Source organism: Homo sapiens, chromosome 10 (genome assembly GCF_000001405.40).
Source record: "Homo sapiens chromosome 10, GRCh38.p14 Primary Assembly".
Taxonomy (NCBI): domain Eukaryota; kingdom Metazoa; phylum Chordata; class Mammalia; order Primates; family Hominidae; genus Homo; species Homo sapiens.
In genome coordinates this window covers 6,013,496-6,030,941 of record NC_000010.11, presented here as the reverse complement: position 1 = coordinate 6,030,941, position 17,446 = coordinate 6,013,496, and the positions used below count along the sequence as shown (strand labels likewise).

The following is a 17,446-nucleotide window of genomic DNA, read 5'->3' as shown; positions in this document are numbered from 1 at the left end:
TGAATCCTTAACTTATCACTATCTACTTACTTAATATTGTACCATTTTCTATATGATATAAAAACCTAAAACAGTACAATTCCATTCTCCCTAACTTTTATACTAGGACTGCTGTATATTTTACATTTACATGTTCAACAGAACCCACCATACCATATTATTATTTTTGTTTTAAACAGTTGTCTTTCAAAGATGTTAAAAACAAAAAGTGGCCTTTTCACTTATCTAAATATTTACGTGTTCTTTATTACTTCATGTCGATTTATGTTTCTAGCTAGTGTAATTTCTCTTTTGCTTGAAAATTTTTCTTTAGTGTAATGCAGATGTGCCATAATAAATTCTCTAAGCTTTCTTTTATCTGAAAATATACTAAATTCACCCTCATTTTTAGAGGATATTGTCTCTAGGTAGATTTCAAGGTTGACGGGTTTTTTTCTTTTAAAACTTTGAATATGTTGTGCCATTATTTTCTGCTTCTATTGTTTCTGTTGAGAAGTCAGTTGTTATTCATCATCGTTCCGCTGTAGGTACGTGTCCTTTCCCTCTGGCCACTTTTAAGATTTTCTCATTATCTTTGGTTTTCAGCAGTTTAGCTACGATGTATATAGATGGGCTTTTCTTTATACGTATCTTGCTTGGTGCCGTGAACATCTGGATCTGTAAATCAGTATCTGTCATCAAATTTCAAAAATTTTTGGCCATTATTTCTTCATATATTTTTTCTGCTCCATTCTTTCTCTTCTCTATCATTGGGAATTCAATTAAATGTAGGTTAGGCTATTTAATATTGTCTTACAGCATGCCAAAGGTCCATTCTTTTTCAGATTTCTTGTGTTCATCAGTTTGGATAATTTCTATTGATTTGCCTTCAAGCCCCGGCTAGGCTCATTTCAGATATTGTAACTTTTAGTTTTAATTTTTTATGTTTAAAAATATTGGCTGGGCACGGTGGCTCACACCTGTAATCCCAGCACTTTGGGAGGCCAAGGCAGGTGGATCATCTGAGGTCAGGAATTCGAGACCAGCCTGGTCAACATGGTGAAACCCCATCTCTACTAAAAATACAAAAATTAGCCATGTATGATGGCATGTGCCCGTAATCCAAGCTATTTGGGAGGCTGAGGCAGAAGAATCACTTGAATCTGGGAGGCAGAGGTTTCAGTGAGCCAAGATTGTGCCACTGCACTCCAGCCTGGGCAACAGAGCAAGACTCCATCTCAAAAAAAAAAATTACAAGTTTTCATTTATCTACTGAGATATCCTGTTGTTTCACTCATTATAACCATTTTTTCTTTAAATTAGCAGTTGGCAATTTTTTTTCTGAAAGGGCCAGAGAGTAAATATTTTAGGCTACCTGGCGATGTTACTCCACTGCAACTACTCAACTCTGCCATTATAGCAGAAAAGCAGCCATAGACAAAATGTAAATAAATGGGTGTGTCTTTCTTCCAATAAAACTTTATTTATAAAAATAAACCACTGAACACAGTGTCTCACTCCTGTAATCCTAGCACTTTGGGAGGCCGAGGCAGGTGGATCACCTGAGGTCAGGAGTTCGAGACCAGCCTGGCAAACGTGGTGAAACCTCATCTCTACTAAAAACACAAAAAGTAGCCAGACGTGTTGGCGCACACCTATAATCCCAGCTACTTGGGAGGCTGAGGCAGGAGAATCGCTTGAACCCGGGGGGCAGAGGTTGCAGTGAGTCAAGATTGCACCATTGCACTCCAGCCTGGGCAACAAGAGCGAAACTCTGTCTCAAAAATAAATAAATAAATAAATAAATAAATAAATAAATAAATAAATAAATAAAATAAATGGCAGCAAATCTGCAGGTCATAGTTTACTGACCTCTGCTTTAAGTCATTGAGTGTAATTACAACTGTTTTAAATTCCTTTTGTGCTAATTCCAAAATCTAGGTCATTTTAGGGGTCTTTTTTTTTTTTTTTTGAGACAGACTCTCACTCACTCTGTAACCCAGGCTGGGGTGCTCGGCTGACTGCAACCTCCACCTCCCAGGCTCAAGCAATTCTCCTGCCTCAGCCTCCCAAGTACCTGGGACTACAGACATGCGCTGCCACACTCGGCTGATCTTTTGTATTTTTAGTATAGATGGGATGTCACCATGCTGGCCAGGCTGGTCTGGAACTCCTGACCTCAGATGATCCGCCTGCCTTGTCGCCCCAAAGTGCTGGGATTACAGGCATGAGCCACCACACCCAATTTTACGGGTCTGTTTCTATTGAGCACTTTTTTGAGTAGGTCAAGTATGTCACATTTTCCTGTTTCTTCACATGTCTAGATTTTCTTTTAATTTGCTGGATATTATGAGCTATACATTATAAAGGGTCTAGATTATCTTATGGTCCTTTAAAAGGTAATGCATTTTGCTCTGCCAGGCAGTTAAATGACTAGCGCATCCTCTTGTCTATTAGGCTTGGTTTTAATCTTTGTAAGGGCAGGTCTATTTTGGTTTTGAAATTCATCCTAGGGATGCCTCTTTCTCTAAAGCAGGATTGGAAAACTACAACCCACAGCTCAGACACCTGTTTTTATAAATAAAACTTAGCATAACTCTTCTTCTCTCAGCCCTCACAATGGACAATCAGGGCTAAGTTTCACTGAGTTCTGCCCTGTTCAGGTTCAGACCAGCTCTTGGCTAAGAACCTGAGGTGGACCCCTATACATAATTTTGGGGCGACCTTCATGCAGTGTCCTCTCCAGAGCCCCACCCCACAAATCCCAGTCATGTCACGTCAATGAAACCACTCTGCTTGGGTTCCACCTGGGTGCTGCCGGGAAGGAAAGCACCCCAGGAAGGAAGCCAGGGCAACTGTGGGCGCCTCTCACGTGTTTCCCTCCTCCAAAATCATGTAGCCCTGAGCTGCCTGTTGTTCAGCACCTGAAAGCACTTGCTGTATACATTTGGACTGGTTTTACAGCTGTTTCAGCAGAAACGTAAGTTTTGGTCCCAGTTACTCTGTGATGGCTGGAAGCAGAAGTCTTCACTGGTTTTTCTGATTATTATCCATGTCTTGCTTTAGTAACAGATTTATCTTCTGATACTTAAAATATTGGTTGGTGTTGATCCATAATAAGTGCCAACAAATGGTACCAGTGATATGAGAAGTACAGAGAGACAAACTTTTGCAGGAGTTAAAGGTTAAGGTAAACTTCAGTCCAGTCTCTATCTGAATTACCATTCTCTTCTTCTGGACAGTGAGAAAAAGGAAAGGAACAGAACTACCATCTATTCCATACCTGTTATTTTCCAGGCTTTCTTCAAGTTACCTTAGTATATTATTTGCTATAATCATTAAATCAATAAAATAATAATTATTACAGCACGAAGCTGAGCCTTAGAGAAGTAAAATAATAAAACTATGTAGCTTGTAAGCTGCTGGAGCTAGAAGTTAGAAACCCATCTTTCTCCTTCCCACCATGCTGCTGCTCTTGCCTTATCATGAGATTACCAGCATTTATTGAGCACTTATGTTGCCTGTTCCACTGTAATTTCTGGCCCATGGAGCCCATTTAAATTGCTTTTGCTTAGTCCCTTGTTGGTTAGAGATGGGCCAAGCTGTCTGATTTCTCCCTATCTTCGTTTTTTTTTTTGAGACAGAGTCTTGCTGGGTTTCCCAGGCTGGAGTGCAGTGGCGTGATCTCGGCCCACTGCAACCTCTGCCTCCTGGGTTCAAGTGATTCTCCTGCCTCAGCCTCCCAAGTAACTGGGACCACAGGCACATGCCACCACGCCCGGCTAATTTTTTTGTATTTTTAGTAGAGACTGTGGTTTTCACCATGCTGGCCAGGCTGGTTTTGAACTGCTGACCTCATGTGATCTACCCGCCTTGGCCTCCCAAAGTGCTGGAATTACAGGCATGAGCCATTGCACCCAGCCTCCCTACCTTCAGTTCTTAGGGGAGACAGGAGAGTCCTGAGCCATTGGATGGGGATGGTCTTCCGGAGGACAAGGTGCTGGGCAGAGTCTAAGGGCACAGAGAAGCTTCACTTAACCTGAATGACCAATACACAACCGGCCAACCCACAGCCATAAGTACAGCCAGCAGCCCTGATCAGCCTCCGTGTGGGCTTCCATTGACGGAGAGGCCACAGACTCCTGCTTTCCTGCCTCTTCCTGTCCCTGTCATCTCCCCGTCCACTTCCTTTATCCAGCATGTGATATTTCCCCCCAAAATCTAATCTCTTAGAGCAGAGAACTTGTTGCAAAGTAGGCAATGGAATTATTTTTCTGATTAGACCTGTGCCACTTTTCCTTTTAATAGTTTGATGTTTGACCACTGCTTCTGGTGCCTTTAGTGAGATACCAGAGTCCATTTTTCAGGCTGAGGGAGGCTAAGGTCTTCATAATATAAGAAGGTATTTGGTGAACTCAGAGGTGGGCAGGTGGGTGAGAAATACACATTTCCTATTTGCCAGACATTGAGTGAAGCACTTTCTGTATATTTCTCAAAAAATGGCGCACAGTCATTAATTATAGAAAGTCTAACAACTCGTATATCCTTAAAAGTATCTTGCACAGACATATTTTGCCCCTCAATTAAATGTACGTAACTTTGCTTCTTCCTTTCTTCACATTCCTTGACCCTCCTCTCTCCATACTTGCTTGACATGAGGCATATTCGGAATAAAACCTTGTTAATTTCTACTCATCTAGTTTGAAATACATTGTGCTTTGGAGAGGAGCTTGGTTGTAGTTAATTTTTGAGCCAGCTCTGATACAAAGCTTTCTAAAGAACAATGGTAGCAGCCTTAGTTGCTTTCTCACAAAAAGTAGGGCATACCATCTTTTAAATAAAGTGAAGAAATATGTGATTAAGTCATTATAGGATTAAATATGTGAGTACTTGCCTGGGGCCTCTTGAGTTCCTAATAGGCTTCTTTTGCTTTGCAGAGCTCTGTGACGATGACCCGCCAGAGATCCCACACGCCACATTCAAAGCCATGGCCTACAAGGAAGGAACCATGTTGAACTGTGAATGCAAGAGAGGTTTCCGCAGAATAAAAAGCGGGTCACTCTATATGCTCTGTACAGGAAACTCTAGCCACTCGTCCTGGGACAACCAATGTCAATGCACAAGCTCTGGTAAGTGTCCCTTCTGTGACTACCAAGAACAAAAGAACTGCAGCAAAGAGTGAGACAGAGCCCAGCTTTTGTTCACTCAGCCCTATAGACACAAATGGGCCAGTCCAGTCTACAGGATAACTAATTTTAGTGGTTCCTGAAAAGTCATTCACTAAACACAATTTTTTTTTTTTTTGGAGACAGACTCTCACTCTGTTGCCTAGGCTGGAGTGCAATGGCACGCGATCTCGGCTCACTGCAACTTCCGCCTCCTGGCTTCAAGTGATTCTCCTGCCTCAGCCTCCTGAGTAGCTGGGATTACAGGCACCCTCCACCATGCCTGGCTAATTTTTGCATTTTTAGTAGAGATGGGGTTTCACCATGTTGGCCAGGCTGGTCTCAAACTCCTGACCTTGAGTAATCTGCCCATCTCAGCCACCCAAAATGCTGGGATTACAGGCATGAGTCACAGTGCCCGGCCACACAATTTTATTTTTATTTTTGAGACAGTCTCGCTCTGTTGCCCAGGCTGGGGTGCGGTGGTACAATCTCAGATCACTGCAACCTCCACCTCCTGGGTTCAAGTGAATCTTGTGCCACAGCTGCCCAAGTAGCTGGGACTACAGGTGTGCACCACCATGCCTGGCTAATTTTTTTATTTTTAGCAAAGATGGGGTTTCGCCATGTTGGCCAGGCTGGTCTCGAACTCCTGGCCTCAAGTGATTCTCCTGCCTGGGCCTTATAGGCGCACACCACCATGCCTGGCTAATATTTTGTATTTTTTGTTAGTGATGGGGTTTCCCCATGTTGTCCAGGCTGGTCTTAAACTCCTGGGCTCAAGCAGTCCTCCTGCCTCAGCCTCCCAATGTGCTGGAATTATAGGTGTGAGCCACCACACCTGACCTAGACACCCTCTTTTATCCTGAGCTGGAATACTGATCACCCCCCTCACTGGGGCACTCAGACTCAACTCCTTTGCCAAACTCTTCACAATAGAGAGGGCTGTTCTAGAAGTTTCCTTGTCATTGTGTTAAGATGGCGTCTCTAACTTCAAGCATTCTGAACAGCCTTAGGGAGCAAAGGATCAGTGTGTTGTGGAGTGAGACCACTCCTGCTGCTGTCAAACAACACAGAGACAATTGACAGCAAGCAAGGAGTCCCTTTTGGTGAGAGACACACACATGCACACATAACATACATGACATACACAGACACGTAACATACATGGCATACACAGACACGTAACATACATGACATGCACAGACACGTATACACACGCTCAAAAACATGTCGTGGGCATTGCCATATGCACTTGAATACCCAGAGGCCGGTGCTGGGAGGGCATACTCTGGTTTCGTATTTGTAAGCTCAGCAGCCAGACACCACCAGACACATCGTGGGCCCTGGACAGGTGTGCTTCTCAAGTGAATGAATACATGAACAGTGTTTTCTATGAAGCATTTGTGAAATTATCTGCATCATTCCATCTATATTTTCTAGCCACTCGGAACACAACGAAACAAGTGACACCTCAACCTGAAGAACAGAAAGAAAGGAAAACCACAGAAATGCAAAGTCCAATGCAGCCAGTGGACCAAGCGAGCCTTCCAGGTGAGAGATGAATCTGTCCTCCAGCTAACTCCTGCTAGCGCACCCTTCTCCTGCAGGCAGATGATGTGTACCCAAAGGAAGAAGGTCTGCCCTGCCTTCTATAAACACATGCATGTGGCTCCGTCCTCCCAAGACATCATTGCAGACAAGAATTAGTGCAGAGTTGCTCAGAGGCTGTTTGCTCAGCAACTAAAGCCAATCTGACGGCAGCCAATCCAGGTCTGGGCTTACTCCCTGGTTTGGTAACTGGCCAAATAGAATTCAACCCAAATTCAACTCAACTTAAAAGCGTCTGTTGGGTCTGTGTGCCAGGCCCTGCTGATAGAAGACACAAACAAGAGTGTGACAACGATCCCTGCCCTCAAGGAAACGCTCTGCGTCTTCCCCTTAAGCACAAGACAACGCACCGCAAAAAAATTACTTGCTTCCCAGTATTTCTTCCAGGGCAAGGTTGTAAAATGTGCATGCCACACTTGTGAGTCTCAAAAGCTCCAGATGCGTGTGTCCTGGCCAGCAGTCTGTGCATGAGTGGGCACTGTGGCTGTCCCTTGTCTGCCCTCTGCTTTCCCACGACTGAATTGGGATTCAGTTATGGTGTCAAGAAAATGGGCTGGGCGCAGTGGCTCACGCCTGTAATCCCAGCACTGTGGGAGTCTGAGGCAGGCAGATCACTTGAGGTCAGGAGTTCGAGACCAGCCTGGCCAACATGGTGAAACCTTGTCTCTACAATCATACAAAAATTAAGCTGGGCATGGTGGTGGATGCCTGTAGTCCCAGCTACTCAGGAGGCCAAGGCATGAGAATTGCTTGAAATCAGGAGGTGGAGGTTGCAGTGAGCAGAGATTGCATCACTGCACTCCAGCCTGAGTGACAGAGGAAGACTCTGTCCCCCCTCAAAAAAACAAAACAAAAAAGAAAAAAAACCCACAGAACCTGCTAGGAAGAATTGAGCTTTCTAAGGTCAGGCTAGCCTTAGGAGACTTCAGAGCCCTTTGCTGATTTTACAACCTTACAAAGAACTGTATCAGATACCATCCCATTTGAGCCTGGCTATACAATGAGTCAGGACCAGGAAGGGTTACTTCAACTTACTGAAGAAACTGAGATGCACAAAAGATAAAAAGATTTGGTTAAGCTCACATAGTAGGGCTGGAATCAGACCTCAGGTCTCCCAGATTAGATGAGGAAACTTTCTGCTGATTACTTATTTTAAAAGAGTTTGAATTTACTTACAGCTTCCATTATTTTATTTTTTAAAACAGACTAATCTAGGGGCACAGTTGCAACATGATGCTCTTACTCCTTCCCCTTCCGACTTTGTCCTGGAATGGTGTTTCCAAGCACATTTGTTTGTTTTGTTCTACTTCCCCCATATCACCCTGCACAGTTATTGGAAGGCTTCAAAGAGGCCAATGCTTGTTGTCCTTTCTCGAAGGCTGGCTCTGCCTGAGGGATGTTTCAAAGATTGTCTCAGTTTGGGTGTTTTCATTGGAAAGAAGCAAACCCAATTCAAACATGTTCAGACAGTTACGAATTGTACTGGCTGTCAAACAACCTTTTATCCTGAGACCAAAACACAAGTTCAGTCGTGATGTTCAAGGTGCCACATGGCAGGAGCCAGCCTGGGACAGGGCCACCCAGCTTCCTGCTGGGGAAGAGGCTCTGGAGGATATTTACAGAGGCTCTGTTGGGTATGCAGGGTTGGGGAGAGTCTGGAAGTTCAGAGCACGTGCGCAGTTTCACAGGCTGGGGTTAGAGGGCACATACAATTCCATATGTCCAGGTTGGGGGCTGTGGGTGGGGAATTCAGAGATTTAATCAGAACAAGACATGGTCTCAGGCCACAGGTCCGTCAGGCCTGGGATGTAGTTGGGTGAGTGGAAAGTTCTGGGGATGGGAAATTTTGAGACGTCTTGAAAGGGCGCATGTGTGTCAACCTTCAGGTGTGGCTTGATCAGAGATGGTGCTCCATTTCTCTGAGGTTCCCTCAGCCCGTCCCTCCTCCTGGCTTTGGTGTTGTCCCCAATCCTTCCGACATCATCCCAAGATGCCCAGCCGCTGCCCCCAAGAATGCACTTCCTCACTTGTCCAGCAGAAATCCAAGGTGGTCTTCATGCTCCATTGGCCCAAATAGGCTTGAGCCTACCCTTGTGTCTCAGCTGAGACTGCCCCGCCCACTCCTGTCCACTGTCAACACCTGCACTGTCTTCCAAGAGGCAGTTGTGGCGTTCCTGTCTCGGGGCCGCACCAACCAGAATGAATCGCTCATTCCTCTGTGTTCCCATTGCCAACGTCTGCTATCCTTCACATGCCTTTCTTACCCAATCCACTGTCCACCCCTTGCAGGAGTGACAGGGTCTTCGTGCCTTCCTACAGGGCCTAGCAAACTTCCCCACGCTCAGACGTTCTCAACATATATTGGTTGAATGAAAGGATGAGCAAGCAGTCAAGAGAGTAAGAACCAAGGTCCAGTCCCTAGCAAGAGGCAACCTGGACTCACTCGCGGTGCTGTCCCCAACTTGCCTTCAGAGCATTCCTTCCATCTTCCAGGTCACTGCAGGGAACCTCCACCATGGGAAAATGAAGCCACAGAGAGAATTTATCATTTCGTGGTGGGGCAGATGGTTTATTATCAGTGCGTCCAGGGATACAGGGCTCTACACAGAGGTCCTGCTGAGAGCGTCTGCAAAATGACCCACGGGAAGACAAGGTGGACCCAGCCCCAGCTCATATGCACAGGTGAAATGGAGACCAGTCAGTTTCCAGGTAGGGTGGCTCCCTTCTGGGGTCCACAATGTTGCTTTGCTCCATCAGGCTGACCAGAGTGGAATCCCTGACCACTCCTGCTGGACAAGAGTGGTCCTTGGACAAGACCCTTGATCTCCCTGGGCTTCCATTTTTTCTCATTCTGAGAAAAAAAAAAAAATTTAAATAGACCAGATCAGATGGACTCTAAGGGCTCCTTCAATGAAGGTCCCCCTGTGCCCTGAGTGGGGAGAAAGGTTGGAGACAGAAGAGAAGGAAAGCCCTCTCCTAAGCACCCTAGATGCTGCCTCGTAGTTGGTCCTAAGTCCACTACTTCTCTAAGCCACCAAGGCCTCCTCTGGCTCCAAGGGCAAGTCCAGTTTCCCACTCACACATTTTTCCTCTTACTGGTGATCGTGTAAATGCATGATCTGAACAGCCCTCCACGGTCAGCATGTTCCTTCCCCTTGTGCCATTCCCCAGCTGAGCTTGTAAAAATAAACATAAAATGTGCAGAGTCGGGACTTACTCAGTGCACATGCGCGCACACACACACACACACACACATACTCATGCAAATGCTCAGCCCACCGATGTCGAGGTCTCCTGCTGTCTTCCTTCTGAAATCTTATTAGTATCACGACAATCAAAAGTGACTTACATGCAGGCTGGGCACAGTGGCTCACACCTGTAATCCCAGCACTCTGGGAGGCCAAGGCGGGCAGATCACTTTAGGTCAGGAGTTCGAGACCAGCCTGGCCAACATGGTGAAACCCCGTCTCTACTAAAAATACAAAAATTATCTGGGCGTGGTGGTGGGTGCCTGTAATCCCAGCTACTTGGGAGGCTGAGGCAGGAGAATCACTTGAACCCAGGAGGTGGAGTTGCAGTGAGCTGAGATCACACCACTGCACTCCAGCCTGGGCAACAGCAAGACTCCGTCTCAAAAAAAAAAAGTGACTTACATTCAACCACAAGTATTCCTGGTTTTCTTGCTCACTGCACTTCTCATACTCCATGTCCTTCTCTTGGGTTCCCTAGGGAGGCTGTTTTGTTCCCTTAGCTGCTTCCCTGGGCCACCCTGACAGCCAGGGAATGCTTGCTGCTTCCTTGGAAGAGGGTGAGAGGCAGGGCAGAGCCAGGGTTGCTGACCCCTCAGGAGAAGTGGAGAGCCTGGCACAGAAGCAGCTGTCCCTTAGTGCATCTCTGCTCCATCCAGTGGTTCAATGGCATTCGTATTATTATGACCTGTTTCCAAGTCACAGATGGAAACCAGGACTGGGGAGGGAGGCTGGGGAGAAAGCATTGCTCAGAGTTTTGGGGACAGCTAGGGTCAGAGTTAGAATTCAGCCTCGTCTGCTCTGCTGAGACCACTTCACCGCTTCCCAGTGCCCCTGCTGTGGAACCATGAGGGGTGGCATCCCTGGCGAAGTGCCCACACCAGGATTCCTGCCTCCTCGGGCGTGTCTGGGGCCGGCTGCCTGGGGCAGGCGGGGTGGGAGTGAGGCCCTGACTCCTGTGTTTAGCTCCACCAGCATCACTTACTCTCTCCCCCAGGTGAAGAGAAGCCTCAGGCAAGCCCCGAAGGCCGTCCTGAGAGTGAGACTTCCTGCCTCGTCACAACAACAGGTGCGGGAGAAGACAAACGCTGGACCACAGAGGCCTAGTCCAAAAGGGCAGAGGTGACCAGGAGCCAGGCTCAGGGAGATAGGCGGAGGTGACCTGTAGGGGAGAAGCCCACAGCAGCCTCCTCTCCCTCTGAGCAGGGACAGGGCCTCAGCAACCTGCAGGCCCCAAAGCAAGTGTCAGAAAGAGGGAACCCAGGACCAGGACCAAGCACGGTCCCCAGGCAGAGATGGAACACCTTCCCTCACCACCACCACGTGTCTCCCACCAGCCTCTGAGCTTCTCATTCACAGAGACACCCTGACTTCCTTTAGCCTCGTGCTGTCCTAAAGTCACGGTAGCAGGAGTGTCTCTCTTTATCTCTTTTTCACAGATTTTCAAATACAGACAGAAATGGCTGCAACCATGGAGACGTCCATATTTACAACAGAGTACCAGGTAGCAGGTGAGTGGGGCACTGGCTTTGTGGACAAAATGTACACCAGGCTGAGATATGGACAGGTTGACTGGTTAGTAGGTTGGTTAGTTGGTTGGCTGGTAGGTTGGTTAGTTGGTTGACTGGTAGGTTGATAGGTAGGTTGGCTAGTTGATTGGTAAGTTGGTTCGTAGGTTGGGAGGTTAGTTGGTTAGTTGGTTGGTTGCTTGGTTGGCAGGTTGGTTTGTATGTTGGTAGGTTAGTTGATTGGTTGGTAGGTTGGTAGATTGGCAGGTTGGTGGGTTAGTTGGTTAGTTGGTTGGTAGGTTGGTTGGCAAGTTGATAGGTTGGTTGGTGGGTTGGTTGATAAGTTGATAGGTTGGTTGGTAAGTTGATAGGTTGGTTGGTGGGTTGGTTGATAAGTTGATAGGTTGGTTGGTAGGTTGGTTGTTAGGGTGGTAGATTGGCAGGTTGGTTGGTAGTTTTGTTGGTAGTTTGGTTGGTTAGCTGGTTGGTTGGTTAGTGAGTTGGTTGGTAGATAGATTGGTAGATTGGTTGGTTGGTTAGTTTGTTGGTAGGTTAGTAGGTTTGTTAGTTGGTTAGTTGATTGGTAGGTTGGTTGGTTGACTGAAAGGACCCCTTCCTTACACTGCAGAATGTGTGAGTGAAAGACTAATCCAGATACTGACGTAACTCAGAATTCGCATGAACCAGTTACAGGATGCTGTGAGCAAAGTCTCAAGTCAGCCCTATCAGCTCCTCTCAAGCTGATCTGGAAGGGCTGTACCCCGGGCCTCTGCCAGGGGTCAAGAGTGGGAGGAAGGAGCCACGTAGCCAGTCAGAGAGGACAGGCTTCCAGAAACACTGCCATTGTTTCCTGGTAGGAGGGAAAAACAGACTCTGAGTCTGCATCTGCCTAGAAAGTAAACAAATGTCAGCCTCCAAAACCTCAGCAGAGCAGCATCTGGAAAACCCGACCTCTTTCAGGAGATGTTAATGTGCTTCTCATCATCTTCATATTTCAACATTTCTTTTACCAGGCGCTCTCGGTGTCCTTAAACGAGGCCTGGCCTCTGAGCCTTTCTGAGGGGCTTTTGTGAGAGAAGGGTGCCTCCTGAGGGGAAGCTCCCTCCACCCTCACCCTGTCCTCCCTGCCCTGTTCCTCAAGACTCCTAGGAAATCCCATGGGGAGGGACCTACTTCCTGAGACAGGGAAGAGAGGCTGCAGCCTCCGCCTTGCTCTTTGGGGATGTCCTCAGCCTGCCCTGTGGCCCTGGCTCCTGCTGCCCCCATGCCAAGCCCAGGGCCCTTTGCTGAACTCCCTCTCTCTATTGACAGTGGCCGGCTGTGTTTTCCTGCTGATCAGCGTCCTCCTCCTGAGTGGGCTCACCTGGCAGCGGAGACAGTAAGTGTGGCATCACCAAGGCAGCCCTTGGTCAGATCAAAGTCCTGTACCCAGCCCCACCCTGCCTCCCCCCTACCCCCTCCATGCTCTCTCTAATCACCTGCAGTTCAGGGAGTGGCAAAGGGAGAGGCCAATCCATGCCTCGGAAAGAGTCAGTTAAAAAGAATTAAAGCACCGCCGGGTGCAGTGGCTCACGCTGGTAATCACAACACTTTGGGAGGCCAAGGCTGAGTGGATCACCTGAGGTCAGGAGTTTGAGACAAGCCTGGCCAACATGGCAAAACCCCATCTCTACTAAAAATACAAAAAATCAGTTGGGCATGGTGGCAGGTGCCTGTAATCCCAGCTACTTGGGCGGCTGAGGCAGGAAGATTGCTTGAACCTGGGAGGCGGAGGTTGCAGTGAACAGAAATCTCACCACTGCACTCCAGCCTGGGTGACAGAGCAAGACTCTGTCTCAAAAAAAAAAAAAAAAAAAAATTAAACGACCAGGGAAATGGGAAGGCAAAGGAGCCTCACATTCATTGAGCACCCACTATACACCAGGCTTGATGCTTGTTTTATAAACATTATTGAAATCTACCTTCTCAGAAACCTTTGGAATAGCTGTGGCCTAGAGAGATGCAACAGCTTGGAGAAGATGGCACAGCAGAGGCCAGCACTGCAACATGAATCTAGAGCCCATGATTTTCCCACCCAGCCCCTACCTATAGAGGACCCAGGGCAGCATCTATGCTGAGCTTTGCCTATCCTGTGCTCCCCACCCTCCCGTCCACAGAAGCTCACACCGGCATCCCCTTGACCAGGAATGTAAACCATGTGTGGTCTTTTTGCATTAACTCAGATTTTCAACCCTGCATGCATCTTAGAACATCCAGGAGACAGTCTTCTAAAATACCAGTGAGTGGCAAGATATGAGTAAATTCCACAGGAAAAGGAAGGCAGTCCAAAGGGCTGTGCTTCTCCTGTGGCTCAGTGTTATTCATAGCTGTGACATCTTTTAAGAGAGGTTTACAAGAGGGAAATCCTGTCACCAAAACCATTGTGACCCACTTTGAATTTGGGGGGAATCTTCATTTGCAACAATAGAAGAACAAATTTGTTGCAATAGGAAATATTTTTGTAGCTTATGTAGGTTGTTCAGCCAAAACAGCATAATAATTTAAAAAGTTAAAAGATAGCCCAGGAGTTGTGGCTCATGCCTGTAATCCCAGCACTTTGGGAGGCTGAGGCAGGTGGTTACCTGAGGTCAGGAGTTCAGGACCAGGCTGGACAACATGCTGAAACCCTGTTTCTACTAAAAAATACAAAAATAAGCCAGGCGTGGTGGTGGGTGCCTGTAATCCCAGCTACTTGCGAGGCTGAGACAGGAGAATCACTTGAACCCAGGAGGCGGAGGTTGCAGTGAGCCAAGATCGCGCCACTACACTCCAGCCTGGGCAACAAGAGTGAAACTCTGTCTCAAAAAAAAAAAAGAAAAAGGTAAAAGATATCAATGATTGGGCTCCAGTCAGAATGTCTGGGGTGAGCCCAAGACATCAGTACGTATTTTTAATTGAGATAAAATTCATCATTTAACCATCATAAAATGTACAGTTCAGTGGTGTCTTAGCCCATTTTGTGCTACTGTAACAGAATGCCTGAGACTGGGTAACTTATAAAGAACAGAGATTTATAAAGAACAGAGATTTATAACTTATAAAGAACAGAGATTTCTTACCATTCTGGAGGCTGGGAAGTCTGAGGTCGAGGGGCCCCCATGTATCAAGGGCGTTTGTGCTACGTCATCCTGTGGCAGAAGGCAGAAGGGCAAGAGAGTGAGAGACAGCAGGAGGGGCTGAACTCAGCTTTTATCACAAACCCACTCCTGCAATAACAACATTAATCCATTCATGAGGCAGAGCCCTCGCGACCTGATCACCTCTTCAAGATCTCACCTGTCAACATTGCTGGATTAGGGATTAAGTTTCCAACACCTGAGCTCTGGGGGATGTATTCAAACCACAGTAAGTGGTATTTAGTATGTTTGCAATGTTGTACAGCCATCCCCACTGATTCCAGAATACTTCCATCATTCCCAAGAGAAGCCCCACACTGCCAAGTTCCCCATTCTCCCCAGCCCCGGGAAACCACCACTCTATGTTCCGTCTCTATGGATTTGCCTATTCTGGACATTTCGTGTAAATGGAATCACGTGGCCTTTTATGTCTGGGATAGTCGTACGTTTTAAAGCCCCTCAGATGTATCTAATACATATGCATCCAGGTTTGACAACCCTACACCCGGCCATTGGTTTTCAAACTTGAACTAGCACCAGAATCATCTGTAGGAACATAAAGAAACGATAAATGTTTGAGATGATGGATATGCTAAATACCATGATCTGATCACTGTACCTTGTAGGTATCAAAGCATCCCTACATACCTCATAAATATATATAACTATTATGTGTCAACTTAAAAACATTTGTTGAAAGAATCATCTGGAGGCCTTGTTAAAGCACAGATTGCTGGGTCCCACCTGTGGAGTTTCTGACGCAGTCGTCTTGCTTAGGTCCAGGAATCTGTATTTCTATCAGGTTCCCAGGTGATACTGACGCTGCCGTTCCAGGGAGCAGACTCTGAGGATCACCGCACTAGGCTAACAGCATTAAGAATCAGGGAAGCTGGCCAGACTCACGCTTGTAATCCCAGCACTTTGGGAGGCCGAGGCAGGCGGATTACTTGAGGTCAGGAGTTTGAGACCAGCCTGGCCAACATGGAGAAACCCTGTCTCTTCTAAAAATACAAAAATTAGCTGGCTGTCATGGTGCGCACCTATAATCTTAGCTACTCGGGAGGCTGATGCAGGAGAATCGCTTGAACCCAGGAGGCAGAGGCTGCAGTGAGCTGAGATCGTACCACTGCACTCCACCCTGGGTGACACAGCAAGACTCTGTTTAAAAAAAAAAAGAAAGAAAGAAAAAAGAAAAGAAAGAAAAAGAAAAAGTAAACTCTAGAAACTCCCTCTGTCTCTCTCTTGATTATCCAGGGCCTCCCTGACCCCTGCCAGCATCCACTCTGGCCAACCCTGATACAAACTCCACAGTAAGACCCTGAGAAAATACAGATCCACTCCCCCAAAACCAAAGCCCTTAGCCCAGCCAGAGAGAAAAATAAAATATCTCTTCCCTTCTTATATGGGTCATCAGGTCCATAACATACTCCTAATTTTCCTCATGGGAATTAAAAAGTATAAATTACTGCAGTGCAAATGATAAGCCCCCTAGGGTTATTGTAGCAGGAATGATTCATATACCCGGCAGTCTACCAGTTTCTCTAAGGGGTTAGCTGACTCCTAAGGTGTCATTTTAGGCTTCCAGGAGGGGAAGGATGTGACGTGGCTGACATGTTGTACGTGTACTCAGTACTTGCATCCTCTCCTTCCTCAGGCTGAACACCTGACAAGCCTTAACACCTTGCAAGGATTTTTTTCATTTGTTAGTTTGAAGATCAAAAGCCTTCGGGCCCAGAGGACAAAGCTATTTGGAAGTAGGAATGGTTCAGTGTTTATGTTGTGAAACAAATAACTGTGTGAACCTATGTGAGTTCCCACAAGGTCTCCCAGAACTACAATCTTTGGGGAGACTCAAACATACATCTAGAAATGACCCCTCTAGTCAGTTTGTCCAAAAGCCTTCCTAGAATCTGATATCAACCCATGGTGCCCTCTTGTGGCAACAGAAATGCTGCATTTGAATTACCGAAAGATCACTGTAGCCCAGCCAGAGAGTTTTGGTTGGGGAAATATTTTTTGTTTGTTTCGGGCAATGACCAGGAGCCCGTGATGTGCTACAGAAGGCTCACAGTGGCTTGTGAGAGCCAGCGGTTAAATTTTCGGGACTTCTGCAAACTGGTTTTTAAGCATAGCCATTATGGAAAATTAAAGTATTTAGGCTGGGAGCAGTAGCTCCTGCCTGTAATTCCTGCACTTCGGGAGACTAAGGTGAGAGGCTCGCTTGAGACCAGCCTGGGCAACAAAGTGAGACCTTGTCTCTACAAAAACATTTTAAACTTAGCTAGGCGAGGTGGCACATACCTGTAGTCCCAGCTACTGGTAAGGGCGAGGTGGGAGAATCCCTTGAGTCCAGCAGTTCAAGATTGCAGTGAGCTGTGACCATGCCACTGCACTGCAGCCTGGGTGACAGATTGAGACGCTGTCTCAAAAAAAAAAAAAAAAATTAAAATATTTAAATTTACAATTTAATAAATTATATTAAAAACAAAGGCAAGAATTACTTACAACTGATCACTTCCTAATTATTTGCTACCTTTTACTGTTATCTTTGTTCGCTGGGTGGTTTACATCTATTGTGTCCGCATGGTGGAAATACCGTTTGACGGTGGCTACCGCGCATCTCTTCCCAACCGCGTGATCAGTGATGTCACATTGCCAGCTGGAAGCTGTGTGTGGAGGGAGGATTGACACCAGGGAAGACAGGCAACCGTCATCAGAGAGCTGCTTGTTAAACATCACCAGCACACCTCTGCTTGGAGTCTTGTGCTATGGGAACTCTG

General features: G+C 46.6%; 1 protein-coding gene, 1 long non-coding RNA gene and 1 other non-coding gene across 5 annotated transcripts in view; 2 read left to right on the top strand and 1 right to left on the bottom strand.

Annotated features, from left to right (window-relative positions):
• IL2RA (interleukin 2 receptor subunit alpha) overlaps positions 1 to 17,446 on the top strand; it is a 51,679-nt gene that overhangs the window by 31,426 nt on the left and 2,807 nt on the right. Inside the window, exons 2-7 of one of the 3 annotated variants that reach the window (NM_000417.3) lie at positions 4,917 to 5,108; positions 6,588 to 6,698; positions 9,249 to 9,464; positions 11,001 to 11,072; positions 11,443 to 11,514; positions 12,823 to 12,889. In NM_000417.3, coding sequence (NP_000408.1) covers positions 4,917 to 5,108; positions 6,588 to 6,698; positions 9,249 to 9,464; positions 11,001 to 11,072; positions 11,443 to 11,514; positions 12,823 to 12,889 — 730 coding nt within the window. The remainder of the gene's footprint in view (positions 1 to 4,916; positions 5,109 to 6,587; positions 6,699 to 9,248; positions 9,465 to 11,000; positions 11,073 to 11,442; positions 11,515 to 12,822; positions 12,890 to 17,446) is intronic. The other 2 variants (NM_001308242.2, NM_001308243.2) reach the window with 2 other exon arrangements.
• On the bottom strand, positions 9,448 to 15,484 carry LOC124902368 (uncharacterized). Its single transcript, XR_007062042.1, has 3 exons — positions 15,411 to 15,484; positions 14,610 to 14,678; positions 9,448 to 9,606 (listed from the first exon to the last, which is right to left on the bottom strand). It is a non-coding gene; the product is annotated as an uncharacterized LOC124902368 (long non-coding RNA).
• On the top strand, positions 13,748 to 13,888 carry LOC124902573 (small nucleolar RNA SNORA14). Its single transcript, XR_007062403.1, has one exon. It is a non-coding gene; the product is annotated as a small nucleolar RNA SNORA14 (small nucleolar RNA).